Source organism: Homo sapiens, chromosome 9 (genome assembly GCF_000001405.40).
Source record: "Homo sapiens chromosome 9, GRCh38.p14 Primary Assembly".
Classification (NCBI taxonomy): domain Eukaryota; kingdom Metazoa; phylum Chordata; class Mammalia; order Primates; family Hominidae; genus Homo; species Homo sapiens.
In genome coordinates, this window is record NC_000009.12 from 95,750,329 (window position 1) to 95,764,170 (window position 13,842).

The 13,842-nt window shown below is 48.2% G+C and overlaps 1 annotated feature.

Annotated features, from left to right (window-relative positions):
* Positions 12,288-12,337: a silencer, noted in NCBI's record as "silent region_20074". NCBI's record gives its function as "represses an Ori minimal core promoter by ATAC-STARR-seq in GM12878 lymphoblastoid cells {active_cell/tissue: GM12878}" and the evidence as "EXISTENCE:reporter gene assay evidence [ECO:0000049][PMID:35858748]".

Consider the following 13,842-nt stretch of genomic DNA (forward strand, 5'->3'; position numbering starts at 1 on the left):
CTTTTAATGTCTCTCAAACAATGCACCATTTTGTGCCCTGGGCGGGGCTGCTCCCAAGCCTCACCCTCTATCTGCTAGGGCTGATCATTTCTCCCTGTTTGGGAGAATCTGTCATCCTTCGTAGTCACAGGCAGCTGTCAAATGCACATAACATGGTGAGTTCCCACGAGTCTCAGTTGCAATGGCGCGGCCCCTCCATCCAGCAATTACAGCAAGTTAGAGATGGAAAGGACCAAAGAGGGGCCTGTGTAGAACCTTTTGTCAGAAAAGAAAATTTTATTTATGTGATTAAAAAAATTATAAATTCTTTTGCTGACATTATTTGGTTATGGATAAAGCCTTTTGAGTGAGTGGGCTGGCATTAGGGTCCATTTGGAAGATGGATATGGGAGAGTCCAGAAGTTAAGTGACGTGCCCAAGGCCTCGCAACCCAAGTCTAGCCTTAAACCCTCAAGGACATGTGTAAGGCCTATATTTGCATTTTAAAATTATGTTGAATTCAAGGCCCTTTGTTTACACATCCAGGTTTAGAAACCATTGCTCTTACTGGAACTCTGAGGTGAGGCTTCAAAACCCACAGAGGAGCGGAGGAAACTGTGGTTTCCTGATGAAAGAGGCTGAATTTGCTCACCTTAGGGTGTGCAGGGGCCCACAGAGGCCTCCACAAGGTTCCTACCTGAAGGAAATCTTGGGAGGGCCTCAGTATCCGGGGCTGACCAGTCCTGAAGCCCTGGAGTCTAGTGCCATGGGCTTGTTGGCCAACGTGTTATAGACTCTAAGACCATGTCAACCAAAAGTAGTTCAAACACCTGTATGTCTTTAGTCCAAGGAAGAAAACACAGACTCTAAAGTTGTTCATGGTGGTAACTATGGTCACGTTTGAGTACCTCAGTCAGATGGGCACTTTCTCCTCCTCAGGCTGTGGAAAAGCCTGACCAGTTCTGACCAATGTGTACAAATGTGCTCTGTCCACAACCAAGGCGTGTGCGGGCTCTGCAGTGGTGTCTGTGAGTCGGGATGCTCAGCAGCAGAGGGAGGGGAGGGAGGAGAGGGATAGAGCCTGAGCTGTGGGAGAGAGAGGATGCAGGGACAGAGCCTGAGCTGCCTGATGGAGGGGGAGGGCAGGGATGGAGCCTGAACGCGGGAGGGAGGGAGGGGAAGGATGGAGCCTGAGCTGCAGGAGGGAGGGAGGGGAGGGATGGGGCCTGAGCTGTGGGAGGGAGGGAGGGGAGGGATGGAGCCTGAGCTGTGGAAGGGAGGGAGGGAGGGGAGGGATGGAGTCTGAGCTGCAAGAGGGAGGATGGGAGGGAGGGATGGAGCCTGAGCTGCATGAGGGAGGGAGGGAGGGAGGAGAGGGATGGAGCCTGAGCTGCGGAAGGGAAGGAAGGAGGGGAGGGATGGAGCCTGAGCTGCGGGAGGTAGGGAGGGAGGAAGGGAGGGAGGGGAGGGATGGAGCCTGAGCTGCAGGAGGGAGGGAGGGGAGGGATGGGGCCTGAGCCACAGGAGGGAGGATGGGAGGGAGGGAGGGAGCCTGAGCTGCGGGAGAGAGGGGAGCGATGGAGCCTGAGCTGCGAGAGGGAGGGAGGGGAGGGATGGGGCCTGAGCTGCAGGAGGGAGGGAGAAGAGGGATGCGGGGAGGGAGGGAGCCTGAGCTCCGGGAGGGAGGGAGGGAGGGAGGGCGCAGTGCGCCTTCGCACAGCCAGGTAGCAGGGAAGGGGCCGCATTAAACATTGAAAAATGCGACTAACTTGTTCATCCTGTGCCAAAGACATCACCCCCTTCTCAGATGCGTGGGGCACGTCACGCACGATCTGCCCCCCCTCCCGCTGCCCTCTCAGTGTCCCGTCCTCTTACAGACGGGAGCCTCCCGGCGCGGGTTGGGAGCGAGCAGGGAGAGTGGCGCCAGCGCAGGAGGTCCCCAGGCCGGGTCCTCCTCACACCCAGGCGAGGGGAGCGCAGGAGCGACCTGCGGGGGCCCCGGGAGGCAGAGCGGCGCCTCCGGGGAGAAGGTCCCGCAGAGCTGTGGGGGGGCAGGGGACTGCCCGGGAGGAGCCCAGCGAGGCGGAGACCAGCAGGACCGACCCAGGGAGCTCAGTGGGGGCGGCCAGGTCAGCCCGCGGGGGCTGCCATAGAGGCCTCAAAAGGAGGGCCCTCAGCGGGTGGGGGGGTCAGGCCCTGCCAAGGACTGTCTTCCCGACCTTCAAGCAAGACACCCCGGGGCAGGGACTGCCAGGCGCGGGGGGTCAGGCCAAGTCTAGTGACTCCTTCGTGCCCCTCTCTGGTGTGGCGGAGAAGAAAGAAGGAGGGAAGCAGCCAGAAACAGCGCGGAGCGGGACTGGGTCCCACCTGGAGACCCTCGGAGCTAATTTCCGCTCAGGAGGAGGCAGGGGCAGCGGCTCCTGCCCTGAAATCTTGCTTCGGCCGCTGGGCCACCGCCAGCAAGTCCCTCACCCAGGACAACTGCGAGCATTGAAAGGGAGGATGCACCTGCCGCCCCCAGGCAATGGCTACATAGTAGCCGTTATTATTATTTTGAGTTTGGGATTTAAAAAACCCATTCCATAATTATCCAAATACATACCATCTTTTCAACTCAGTTTTGGATTCAGGGAGTGGGGAATGATTTGTAGTCAGAGAACCTTCGGGAGAGTGCTTTGGAAACAGTCTTGGGCCAGGCCCAGGCCCTGCATTTGTAAAATGGAGATAATATCAGGACCTACCTCCTATATATTTGCTGCGACTAAGGAAAATAATGCAGATTTTAGCACAGTGCCTTTCACATAGAAAGTGCTCAAAAATACTAGCCGCATTATAGCTAATCACAGCATCATCACCATAGTCTTTTAAAAATTTTTCACCGTGAAGTTATTATTTAAAAATCTTTTTCAAATTTTATGATCATTGATTACCATTTCCCCCCCACCCTATGAGATAAATTAATCAGGATTTTATTGGCTGATGAAAAATGTTTACCACCGGTCTATTCTGCGTAGCTTTACTAGACTGTTCTAGTGTTGTCAAACCTCTACTGTCCTATTCGGATACTTCAGGACGTTGTTTTTTAGTTAATGTATATATAGACTCTCAACACCCTGGCTCTTAACTGGGGTTGATTTTACTACCCAGGCAATATCTGGAGACATTTCTGTCACAACTGGAGAGGGGGTTGCTAATGGCATCTTGTAGGTGATGGCCGGGATGATGTTAAATCTAAAACGCACAGTACAGCCCACCACAAGAGAGACTAGCCCAAAATGTCAATAGTGGCGAGATGGAGAAACTGCCCTGACATCTCTTTCTCCTGCGGTCTCTCCTAAAGAAACGCCAAGGGAACCAAGGTCTGATGTCTCTGTGGTCCATTGCATTGGGAACTATTTCTGAGAAAAGCAAGTTGTGGGGACCTGCAAAGCTGTTTTTAGCACAGAACAAAATCACAGAGGACCAAAGCCCTAGAAACCCTGCCTCCTTCCCACTGGGCGTATCCCTCTGGCTTCCGTCTCCTGGCAGGGTTTGTGCAAAGCCGCAGCTAGAGCAACATTTTGTTATAATCAAACCTCCAAAAGAATCCGTGGAGCACTGTGGCCCATCTGCAAAGGCCAGAAGGGGGAAGGGATTGTGTTTGGGGGCTGATTATGCTGACCTTTCAACCCTTCTTGGCAATGTTTGCTGGCCAGAAAGCAAAGCCAGCTGTAACTTGGACAGTGCTTTACACAAACAGACAACACAGACTGTTATCTCCTAAATTGGAGGCTTTCTGCAATGTCTTCTCATGTGGGCACTGGGCTCAGGCAGGAAGACCACCCACAGGCAAACACACAGCACCTCCCAGGGAGGCCTGGAATCACCCACCGCTCTCACCACCTGTTCTGGGGCCTAGCTATCAGATGGGAAGGAGCCAGTTAATAACTGTTTATAAGCTATAAATGGAAGTGGCCATGGCAGGGAGCTGATAAACATTTGGGGGCCAATTATTTGTGTAGCTGACTGTCATTTGCACCCGCTCTCAACTGCTTGCAGTATGTGTTTCAGGTTACAGGACGTCCAAATGGCTGTTTGTGGGGAGGGGTGTCTACTGAAGGGCTGTGTCTGTGGTCTTGATCCAGACCACAGATAATGAGAGCTGCCTTGGACATTTTCAGCCTTCCTAGGCATCAGATCTTTCTCCTTAACTCTGCTTAGGGGTCAAAAGAAAATTCTAAAGGTAGGAGGCCCTAAAGTATTTCATGTACTTTGGAATCTCAAATCTCCGTTTTGTTGGAAATGTATGGACAGAGTGTTCGGCTCTGAGCTGTTTAAAGTGAGCTTTTATGTGCTGCACTTGTTAGTTTATAATGTGACGTGTTTTTTCCTGTGAAAAAGAAGGTGAGTATAGGGATGCTACATTTAAACCATCAACTGACAGCCTGAGGCTACTGCAGATCCAGAACTGTGATTGCGGGGGCTGGCAGAAGCAGCATGTCGGGAACTCAATGTGGTGGCGATTGAATTGCCTTATGACCTTGGGTTGGCAGCTATTGGATTAAAAGGCTCAAAGGAGAAATTTGGAAATGAAAATCATGTGCGGAACAGGGGATAAGGACCTTGACATTTAAATAACAAAAGTGACACCACACTGGTTCTCTCACCTGGTTAGTGCGGAGCGGGCAGGGGCAGCTGGTCCGGCCCTGCGTCCCAGTGTGAAGGAATTTCTGCCTTTGTCTTCCCAGGGAAGCCAAAGCTTGGAACTGGGTACAACCAGTTTCTAGTGCCTCTGAGTGTCTAGTGCTGGGTCCGGGGATCACTAATTTCAGGCAGTGTCTGGGTGTAGGAATTGGCTGCAGGCAGGGGCCTACAGGAGTCCAGTTCCAGATTCACTGCGCTCCTACTAGGTTATGTGATCTTCACCAAGAATCTGAAATTCTCTGTTGCCCACGTCCTTATTTGACACCAGGGATGTTTATGGCTCAAGGCACTGCTGGAAGCTACAGAATTTTGGCATACAAACCACCCTCAGGGGATTCATGCTTGCCCCGGAGATAAACCTTATCTCTGACAAGATTATCTACTAGTCAAGGCCACATAGGAAAAGCCAGCAGTGCTACAGGGAATAAACGGTGCCAGGGTTTAGTCAAGGGAGGGACGGGGGTCTGGAGAGAGCATGAAGGCTTCAAGGAGGAGATTTGACTTGAGAAAGGCCACCTTGAATGGTAACCTGCAGGTGAACAGCATGGCCAGGTGCTCAGCAGCAGGTGTTCACAGTGGCTTTCCAAGGGACAATCCATTTACCTGTCCTAAAGGAACAGGAAGGAGTTGTGCACGTTAACCTTGGGGAGGCAGGTTGTGATCAGATTGTGAGGGGCTTGAGTCCTCGGTGAGGAGCTCAGTCTCTCCCTTGTCATGTCTTATGAGGAAGTACTGGAAAGCAGTGATTCCAGGCAGGTGGGTCTGGTGAAAAGGTAAGATGCTCAAGATAGAGACTGCTGCTGATCCAGGCATAAGGGTGGGCAGCTCAGAGGCAGCTGGACTACACAGCGGGGTCCTGGGGGACTGCAGAGATCCTAGAGAAAGAGCCAAGGGACTCAGTGAGGAGAATCAGCAGGACCAGGCCCAACCCTGAGCAACTGGGAAGGCACAGCACCTTCCACAGAAGCTAGCAAGGCCTGAATAATGAAAGGAAGGCTTCGTTTCATACACCTTGAATTTGGGGCAAAACATTCCAATAGAAATGCCCAGTTAGAAGTTGGAAAGGCAGAACTGGAGTTGAAAAGTGTTTCTGCTTCTCTGTGCCCCTACTAGATTGCTAGCACTTCAAGGGCAACAGGAATGTCCCAGGATGGGATGAGCATTAGAGCGGGCATCAATCATAAAATACATCATTAGCTATCACTTTCCGAAGGCTTGCTCTTGTTAAGCCACAGGCCTGCAACAGCAGGATTACGATAGCTGTTATGCCCAATTTTCAGGTCCAGAAACTGAGGTTCAGAGAAGTTAGGAAATTTATCCAAGATCACACAGCTTCTAAGTGGTTGAATTGGGATTTGAATTCAGGTCTAGCTGTTGCTAAAGGCCATGACTTTCCCTTTCTCCCTCACATCCTCTCTTGGCCTTTTAATGCAGGAATTCTTTCATACTGAACTTTTGCTTCTCTAGAACTTACACAATGTCTTGGGTCAGGTTTTTGATATGTGTGTTTTATTAATCCTTTTTTCTGCTACCAAATTTCTTACAAACAAATATCCAGATTTTATTAGCCAACTATTTTAAAAAGTAAAACAAAAACAACAACAAAAATCTTTGCCTCTTTTTCTTAAAAGTATGCAAATTCAAGACATCAAATTCATCATTCTTTATCAAGTTAAAAAATTACACTGTGTTTTATTTGGCAAAGCAAAGGGAATTTCTGAAAGACAAGAGACAATATAAATTTACTCCTTGTCTTTATTAGGAAGTATTTATCTAGAAGTTTTTGTTAACAGAACCGTTTGGAAAAACTTTTCACATTTTCTGAAAGCAAAACTTCTGGGCCTCTCTTCGATGTAGCTCTCAGGCCAAATTAATCCTTATACATGTAAAAACATTATTTACATATTTGGGAAGGAAAACACACAGATTATGCAAGGTCTCAAAGTAGCTAAAAGTCAGAATTTAAAGTTAGTATTTACCGCTTCTATTCTTAAACTCATGCCAGAGCCAAGCTACATCCCATATAGTTTCAGGGGAAAATGCAATCAGAAACCTAGCTATGGCGATTTTTACAGCGTTGAAGTTTTTGCCAAATTTGGGTTCTGAAAGGAATTTCCCTACAGGGCCTTTTGGCAGAGACCTTGCATTTTTTTCAGCTTTCCCCAGGAGTCCTTAGCTGGGATCCTCTATTGTATAATCTGTTTCCTTCAACCATTCCTGCTCTCCTCTTTACTCTGAATCATGGGCACATGACGTAGTATTGGAGGAGAAAGCAGCTCTGAGAGGATATTATGACATGTCTCTCCTTTGACTACATGTTCCTTCCTCCACAGCCAATTGACAGGAGAGAAAGGGACGATCTCTATTCATTTACTGGAGAATTAGCATTTTCTGTCAATGCACCTTGCTCTTTTACCCAAGGAATTTCTGTTCACCAGAGAAAAACCCTAGACAAGGGGTCAATAGTTGGCTTGATGAAACCGCTGGCTCTGTATGAATGATCTTTTTCTCCCATGAGCCCAATCATAAAGGTCAATATGTCCACAGATGTCTGAAACAAATTAAGTTAAGCTGTAAGGAAATAGAGAGACAGAGCCGGGTGCAGTGGCACATGCCTGTAGTCCCTGAATTAGCAGTTTTGCATAAGGGAAATATCTGACCCTCTCTTCATATTGATTTCTAGCTCAGGCGTGCATCCATATAGTAACAGGTAATGAAACCGTAGCGCTTGGTTTCTCTCTTAACAAACCAGGCTAGGCCTGAGTTCTAGCTCCAGCGCTGGCACAAGCTGGCTGTGAGAACTTGGCCAGGTTACTACATTTTTCTGGATCTGTATTTCTTCATCCATAAAATGGAAGGTTTGGTACATAAACCTTAAGGTTCTCTCCTGCTCTAGAATTCACTGTAACAACAGCCCCCACCCCATGAGCCATCCATGAACCTTAGCAGATCTTTAATTTATTTGCTTATTAGAGTCAGGGTCTCGCTCTGTCATCCAGTCGACTTCCCGGGCTCAAGCAATCCTCCCGCCTCAGCCTCCCCAGTAGCTGGAACCACAGGTGAACGCCACCACACCAGGCTAATTTTTAAATTTTTTGTAGAGATGAGGTCCCACTGTGTTGCCCAGACTACTGGGTTTTTTTGTTTTTGTTTTTGTTTTGAGACAGAGTCTCGCTATGTCACCCAAGCTGGAGTGCAGTGGTGTGATCTCAGCTCACTGCAACCTCTGCCTGCTGGGTTCAAGCAGTTCTCCTGCCTCAGCCTCCTGTGTAGCTGGGACTACAGGTGCGTGCCACCACGCCTGGCTAATTTTTTGTATTTTTAGTAGAGACGAGGTTTCACCATGTTAGCCAGGATGGTCTCAATCTCCTGACCTGGTGATCTGCCCCCCTCGGCCTCCTAAAGTGCTGGGGTTACAGGTGTGAGCCACCACGCCCAGCCCAGGCTACTGTTTTTATAGAATATAATTTGCTGTGTGATGATTAAATGTTGACAGGTGTTTAGTTATGTTTTTTCTCTAGAAAAGCATGATGATGCAGCGTTTTTCAAAAAATCTCAAATTTAACTTGAATTATTTTAGTAATCTTACCTACTCTTATAAACAAAAGTGCTCTTTTCTTTTTTTCTTTCCTTTTTCTTTTTCTTTTTTTTTTCTTTTTGAGTCAGGATCTTCCTCTGTCACCCTGGCTGGAGTACAGTGGCACAATCACAGGTCACTGCAGCCTCAACCTCCTGGGCTCATGCAATCCTCCTGCCTTAGCCTCCCAAGTAGCTGGGGCTACAGGCACATGACACCACACTCAGCTAATTTTTTACCCTTGGAGAAATGGGGCCTCCCTATGTTGCCCAGGCTGGTCTCGAACTCCTGGGCTCAAGTGATCCTCTCGCCTTAGCCTCCCAAAGTGCTGGAGTTACAAGCATGAGCCACCACACCCAGACCCAAAGTACTAATTTTAAGGGTACTTTAAAAGTATTTAAGCCCGGGCGTGGTGGCTCATGCTTGTAATCCCAGCACTTTGGAAGGCCGAGGTGGGCAGATCACAAGGTCAGGAGATTGAAACCATCAAGGCTAACACAGTGAAACCCCATCTCTACTAAAAATACAAAAATTAGCCAGGTGTGGTGGCGGGTGCCTGTAGTCCCAGCTATTCAGGAGGCTAAGGCAGGAGAATCGCTTGAACCCAGGAGGCGGAGGTTGCAGCGAGCCGAGATCGCGCCACTGCACTCCAGCCTGGGCGACAGAGCAAGACTCTGACTCAAAAAAAAAAAAAAGTATTTAAGTACTTTAAATGCTTTTTAAAGCAAAAAGTATTCCCAGCATATCACCCGTCCTCTCCACCAGACTCAGCTCTGAATGACTTTTGCACCCACCCCACAGAAGTGAAAATGCGTCGCTGCTGAAATCTATTCAAAGAAATGTGCCTTGTGAACACGCCCAAAGATGGCAGGCAGAGGCATCCTCAAAGCTGACCTCCAGGTCGGAATAGAGGTCGGTCGTCTTCCAAACCGCACCTTGGAGCCAATAGCATTCTTTCTATAAAAAAAAAAAAAAATAAGGCCAATTACTTAATATCCACAACTGGTGTGATAACATTCCTGCCTACCCAAGCACCCATGGATAGAGAGTTAAACAAAACATATACCCAAGAGAAAATGTGGAAAATGCTTTAAATTTTAGGCTTCTATTTTTTCTTATATGGGAAATTTTAAGGAAACGTGTGTGAGACAAACCTCGGTTTGACGTCTCAGGGTAGAGTTTCTCACAGTGTGATTGCAAAACCCAGCAGAATTGTAGGGGAAGAAAGATTTCTTTCCTCATTCATTGCTAGGTTCATGGTTGAGGCACCTATAACAAAAGACAGCTTAACAAGTGAGAAGCATACACATTGACTTCATGTAAGTTTTACCTGACATGAGAGTTTGTGGAAATGAAGACCCAAAGAAAGTGGGAAACCTGCATATTTTTAAGCTTAGGTTTGATGAAGAGTGGTCAGGCGTGCGGAAGTGTGATTGGACAGGGGAGAGCTAGCGGTGCTAGCCTGGGGGGACTTGCAAGGCGTTTGTTCAGGTTCTTCTCTATGTCCCTGCATCTTCTGAGATAAGGATACTCCTCTCCTCTGGGTACAGGGGGAACCTCTCAAATGAGGGTCTTATGACTGGCTTCAGGAGAGAAGAGCAGGAGAAAGTCAGAGAGTGACCTTCTAGGTTGTAGGACCTGTGTCAGGGCAGGAGGGCTTTCCCGCTTCTGCTATTTTCTCAAATGCCAAGGTGCCAGATTTGGGGGTAACATGCCTTGAACCTCATGAGAATCATTTGGGGAGCTTGTTAAAAATGAAGATGCAGGTCGGGCGCGGTGGCTCACGCCTGTAATCCCAGCACTTTGTGAGACTGAGGAGGGTCGATCACGAGGTCAGGAGTTCAAGACTATCCTGGCCAACATGGTGAAACCCCATCTCTACTAAAAATAACAAAAATTAGCCAGGCGTGGTGGCACACACTTGTAATCCCAGCTACTGGGGAGGCTGAGGCAGGAGAATCGCTTGAACCAGGAGGCAGAGTTTGCAGTGAGCTGAGATTGCGCCACTGCACTCCAGCCTGGGTGACACAGCAAGACTCCGTCTCAAAAAAAAAAAAAAAAATGAAGATGCCTGGGTCCACCCTGGACCTATGGAATCAGAATCTCCAGGTTTCATGTTTACCTGACTCTAATGAATAAATAAATAAATAAATAAATAAAAGATCTGCCGAGGTTCATGGTCTGCTAATAGGGCAAGGAGCTATCGTTACAGAGAATTCTAGAGCAAGAAAACCCTTACGGTTTATGTGCCAAACCTGCGTTTTACTGATGAAGAAATGCAGATCCAGAATCACCAGGGAATTTTAGATAAACTTCCTAGCTAATTCTCAGGCATAGTAAACCCTCAGAAACTTGTCCTACAGTTTGTCTGAGCCCTACGGAGGACGGCTCTTCTTTAATCTCCTGGGTTGCTTATTGTCTTAAACATCAAGAATGCTCCCTGACAGCAGAGGAGCAGGCCCGGCAGCACTCAGAACTGAGTGAACACAAGCCAGAGAGTGCCTCGCAGCCCAAGAGCTCTGAGTTGGTTTTTAACTAAGACATTCGTAGTCAGAAAGAGGCCAAGCATGCCATTCTTAATTTAAGATAAAGGTAAGGCCGAGGGATGTGTCTGCATATTTATGACAAGCTCAATACGTGCTAAGCAAAAGACACGTGGCACTATCCAACTCCGTGGGTTTTTTTCCCCCTCTAATGACAGACTTAAACTCAGCCTGAAAGCTGACCTTCGAGTCCCTATTTCATTATTCTAAGCCAGCATTATTGGTTATGGGAAATAATCCTGTTGGCAGAAGGAAATACTTAAGGAGCAGTTTACTTTAGTCTTTGCTAGGCATGTGATGTAGTGTGGGAACGAAAACAAGGGATGTTTCAGCTTTGCCTGATGTCCCCCTGTGAGGTGACTGACTCATGGTTTTAGAAATAAAGACATCTCCTGCATCAAGACCCTAAGTTAAATTCCTAGGTCTCTGTGGCCAGTGACAAAGGGGGAAATTAAGACAGTGAACTGGATTATTTTATTTTATTTTTGAGACAGGGTCTTACTCTTCTGCCCAGCTGGAGTGCAGTGGTGCGATCAGAGCTCACTGCAGCCTTGACCTCTCAGATCCAAGTGATCTTTCTACCTCAGCCTCTTGAGTAGCTGGGACTACGGGTGAACGCCACCACACCTGACTAGTATTCTTATTTTTTATTTTTTATTGTGGAGACGGGGTCTTCCTAAGTCACCTAGGGTGGTCTCGAACTCCTGGGCTCAAGCAATCTGCCCACCTTGGCCTCCCAAAACACTGGGATTACAGGCATGAGCCATCATGCCCGGCCTGGATACTTCTAGACAAAGAGAAATACCAGTGTTATTTCCTCTATAGGGCCCGTGGTTTTGGTGTACAGACTCACCCTATTTTGTCATTATGGATGCAAGATTCATTTCAGAGTATCTCCCTGAATTTGACTAATTGGCCAATTGATTTTTCCTGGTTACCATCCTTGGTTACACACATCACAGTTATCTCCAAAGCTGCTTTTCACAGCAGTTGAGTGTGCATACTGGAGTCTCACTGACTGGATTCAGATCCCAGCTCTGCTACTTATCATCTGGGTGACCTGGCTTGGGTCACCAATCATCCTGGCCTGCCAGGGACTGAGGGATTTTTCTGGATGTGAAACTTTTGGTGCTAAAGCCAAGAAAGACCCAGGTGAACTGAGGCCAGCTGGTCATCCTGGCCTTTGAGCAAGTTACTTTACTGCTCCAAGCTTGAGCTTCCTCACCTGTATTGCGGGTTGCCAGTCATAGTGAGCTACCTTGTGGGGTTGTTGGAGGACTCAGGAGGTGTGGCCCTAAAGCAGTTGGAACTGGGCCTGGCACATGGCACCTGTGTGTTTGTTGTCATTTTTTCATCAGCAGCACTCCATTCTGCCCCCTGACATTACACACGGCATTGGAGGGCTGGTGCCATGTGGTGGCAGAACGCAACCAAAACCAGACCAGACCACAGACACCACTTGTGGATGTTGTGAAGCGTTCATTGGAACCTTCCTTCACTGTGTGGTTGATGGTTGAGATGCTTGCAAAACAAGTATTTGGTATGTCTTGTGTGGTAACAGTTGTGACATCTGGGTCCCGAATAAAGAGTGTACCTCCCGGAAGGTAGGGTGGCCATAGACTCACCTGTGAGCCATGGAAAGGGGGGAGGCCATGCTCATTTTGATGAAGCAGGTAAGATGGTGACCACGCCTGGGCACGGACAGAGATGGGATAGGAGTAGTCCTGTGTGCCGGGAAGGGTTTGGGGAAGGGGACATCAGACAAGTCAAACAAGGACTTGGACTCACTAGCTGATCAGGGACCTTAAATGTCACTTGCACCTGGGAGTCCCATCACAGGAGGAAAAAGGCCAAGTCTGTTTTCTAAGTTCCTCAAAACTTCATAGGAGAGAAGAAAAATGATGGGAAGAGACATCAGTAACAAAAGGCAGGTAATGGAAATATGAAGCTATAGGGGCCAGAGTTTATAACAAATCTCCTTCATTTGTCATATGCCATCAATCAACACATTTATTGAACACCTACTATGTGCCAGGTGCTGTGTGCCATCTGCACTGGAGCTGTGTCCCGGAACACAACAGACAGTGCCTTCTACCATAGTTGGGCCAGACTTCCATTTCTTCATTCAGCATATGGATATAAAGCACCTACTATGTGCCATGAAGTCTCCCAGGCACCTGCTTTGTGGCATTTGTAAATGAATAAGCATGTACAGGAAAATATCAGGGTTGGCTGCGTGCGGTGGCCCATGCCTTTAATCCCAGCACCTTGGGAGGCTAAAGTAGGTGGATCACCTGAGGTCAGGAGTTCGAGACCAGCCTGGCCAACACGGCGAAACCCCATCTCTACTAAAAATACAAAAATTAGCCGGGTGTGATGGCATGTGCCTGTAATCCCAATTACTTGGGAGGCTGAAGCAGGAGAATTGCTTTAATGCAGGAGGCAGAGGTTGCAGTGAGCCGAGATCGCACCACTGCACTCAGCCTGGGTGACAAAGCAAGACTACATTTCACACAAAAAAATTAATAAAAATAAAAATAAATAAAATATCAGGGTCCTGAGAGAATAAGAAGGCTCCAGCTCTCTGGACACCTGCTCTGGGTCTGGCCTTCCTCTACTTGCTCAATACATCTTCTCCCATTGAAGCCTCACCACAGTCTACCTCCTATTAAACTAAACTAGCTCACATTGCATGAACTAACATATTATGAATAATTTTATCCTCATTTTATAAATGAGGGAGTTGAGGCACTGAGATGAGAGCCTCACCCCGCTCTTCAGCTCTATCCTAGCCCATCTCTTTTGAGGCCTCGGGCAATACCGGGGGGTACTTTAGGTGGTCGCACCTGCAGAAGTCCTGCCGCTTTCTAGTGGGCAGAGGCCAGAGATGCTGCTAAACATCCTACAATGCAAAGGACAGCCCCATAACAGAGAATTCTCCAGCCCCAAATGGACTGAGTGCCAGGTGGAGACACCCTGCTCTCAAATGCCTGGGGAGAGGGCTTGTGGGAGGCCTCTTTGCTCTTCCAGGTTTGGGCTGTGTCCATGGCCATGCAGCTG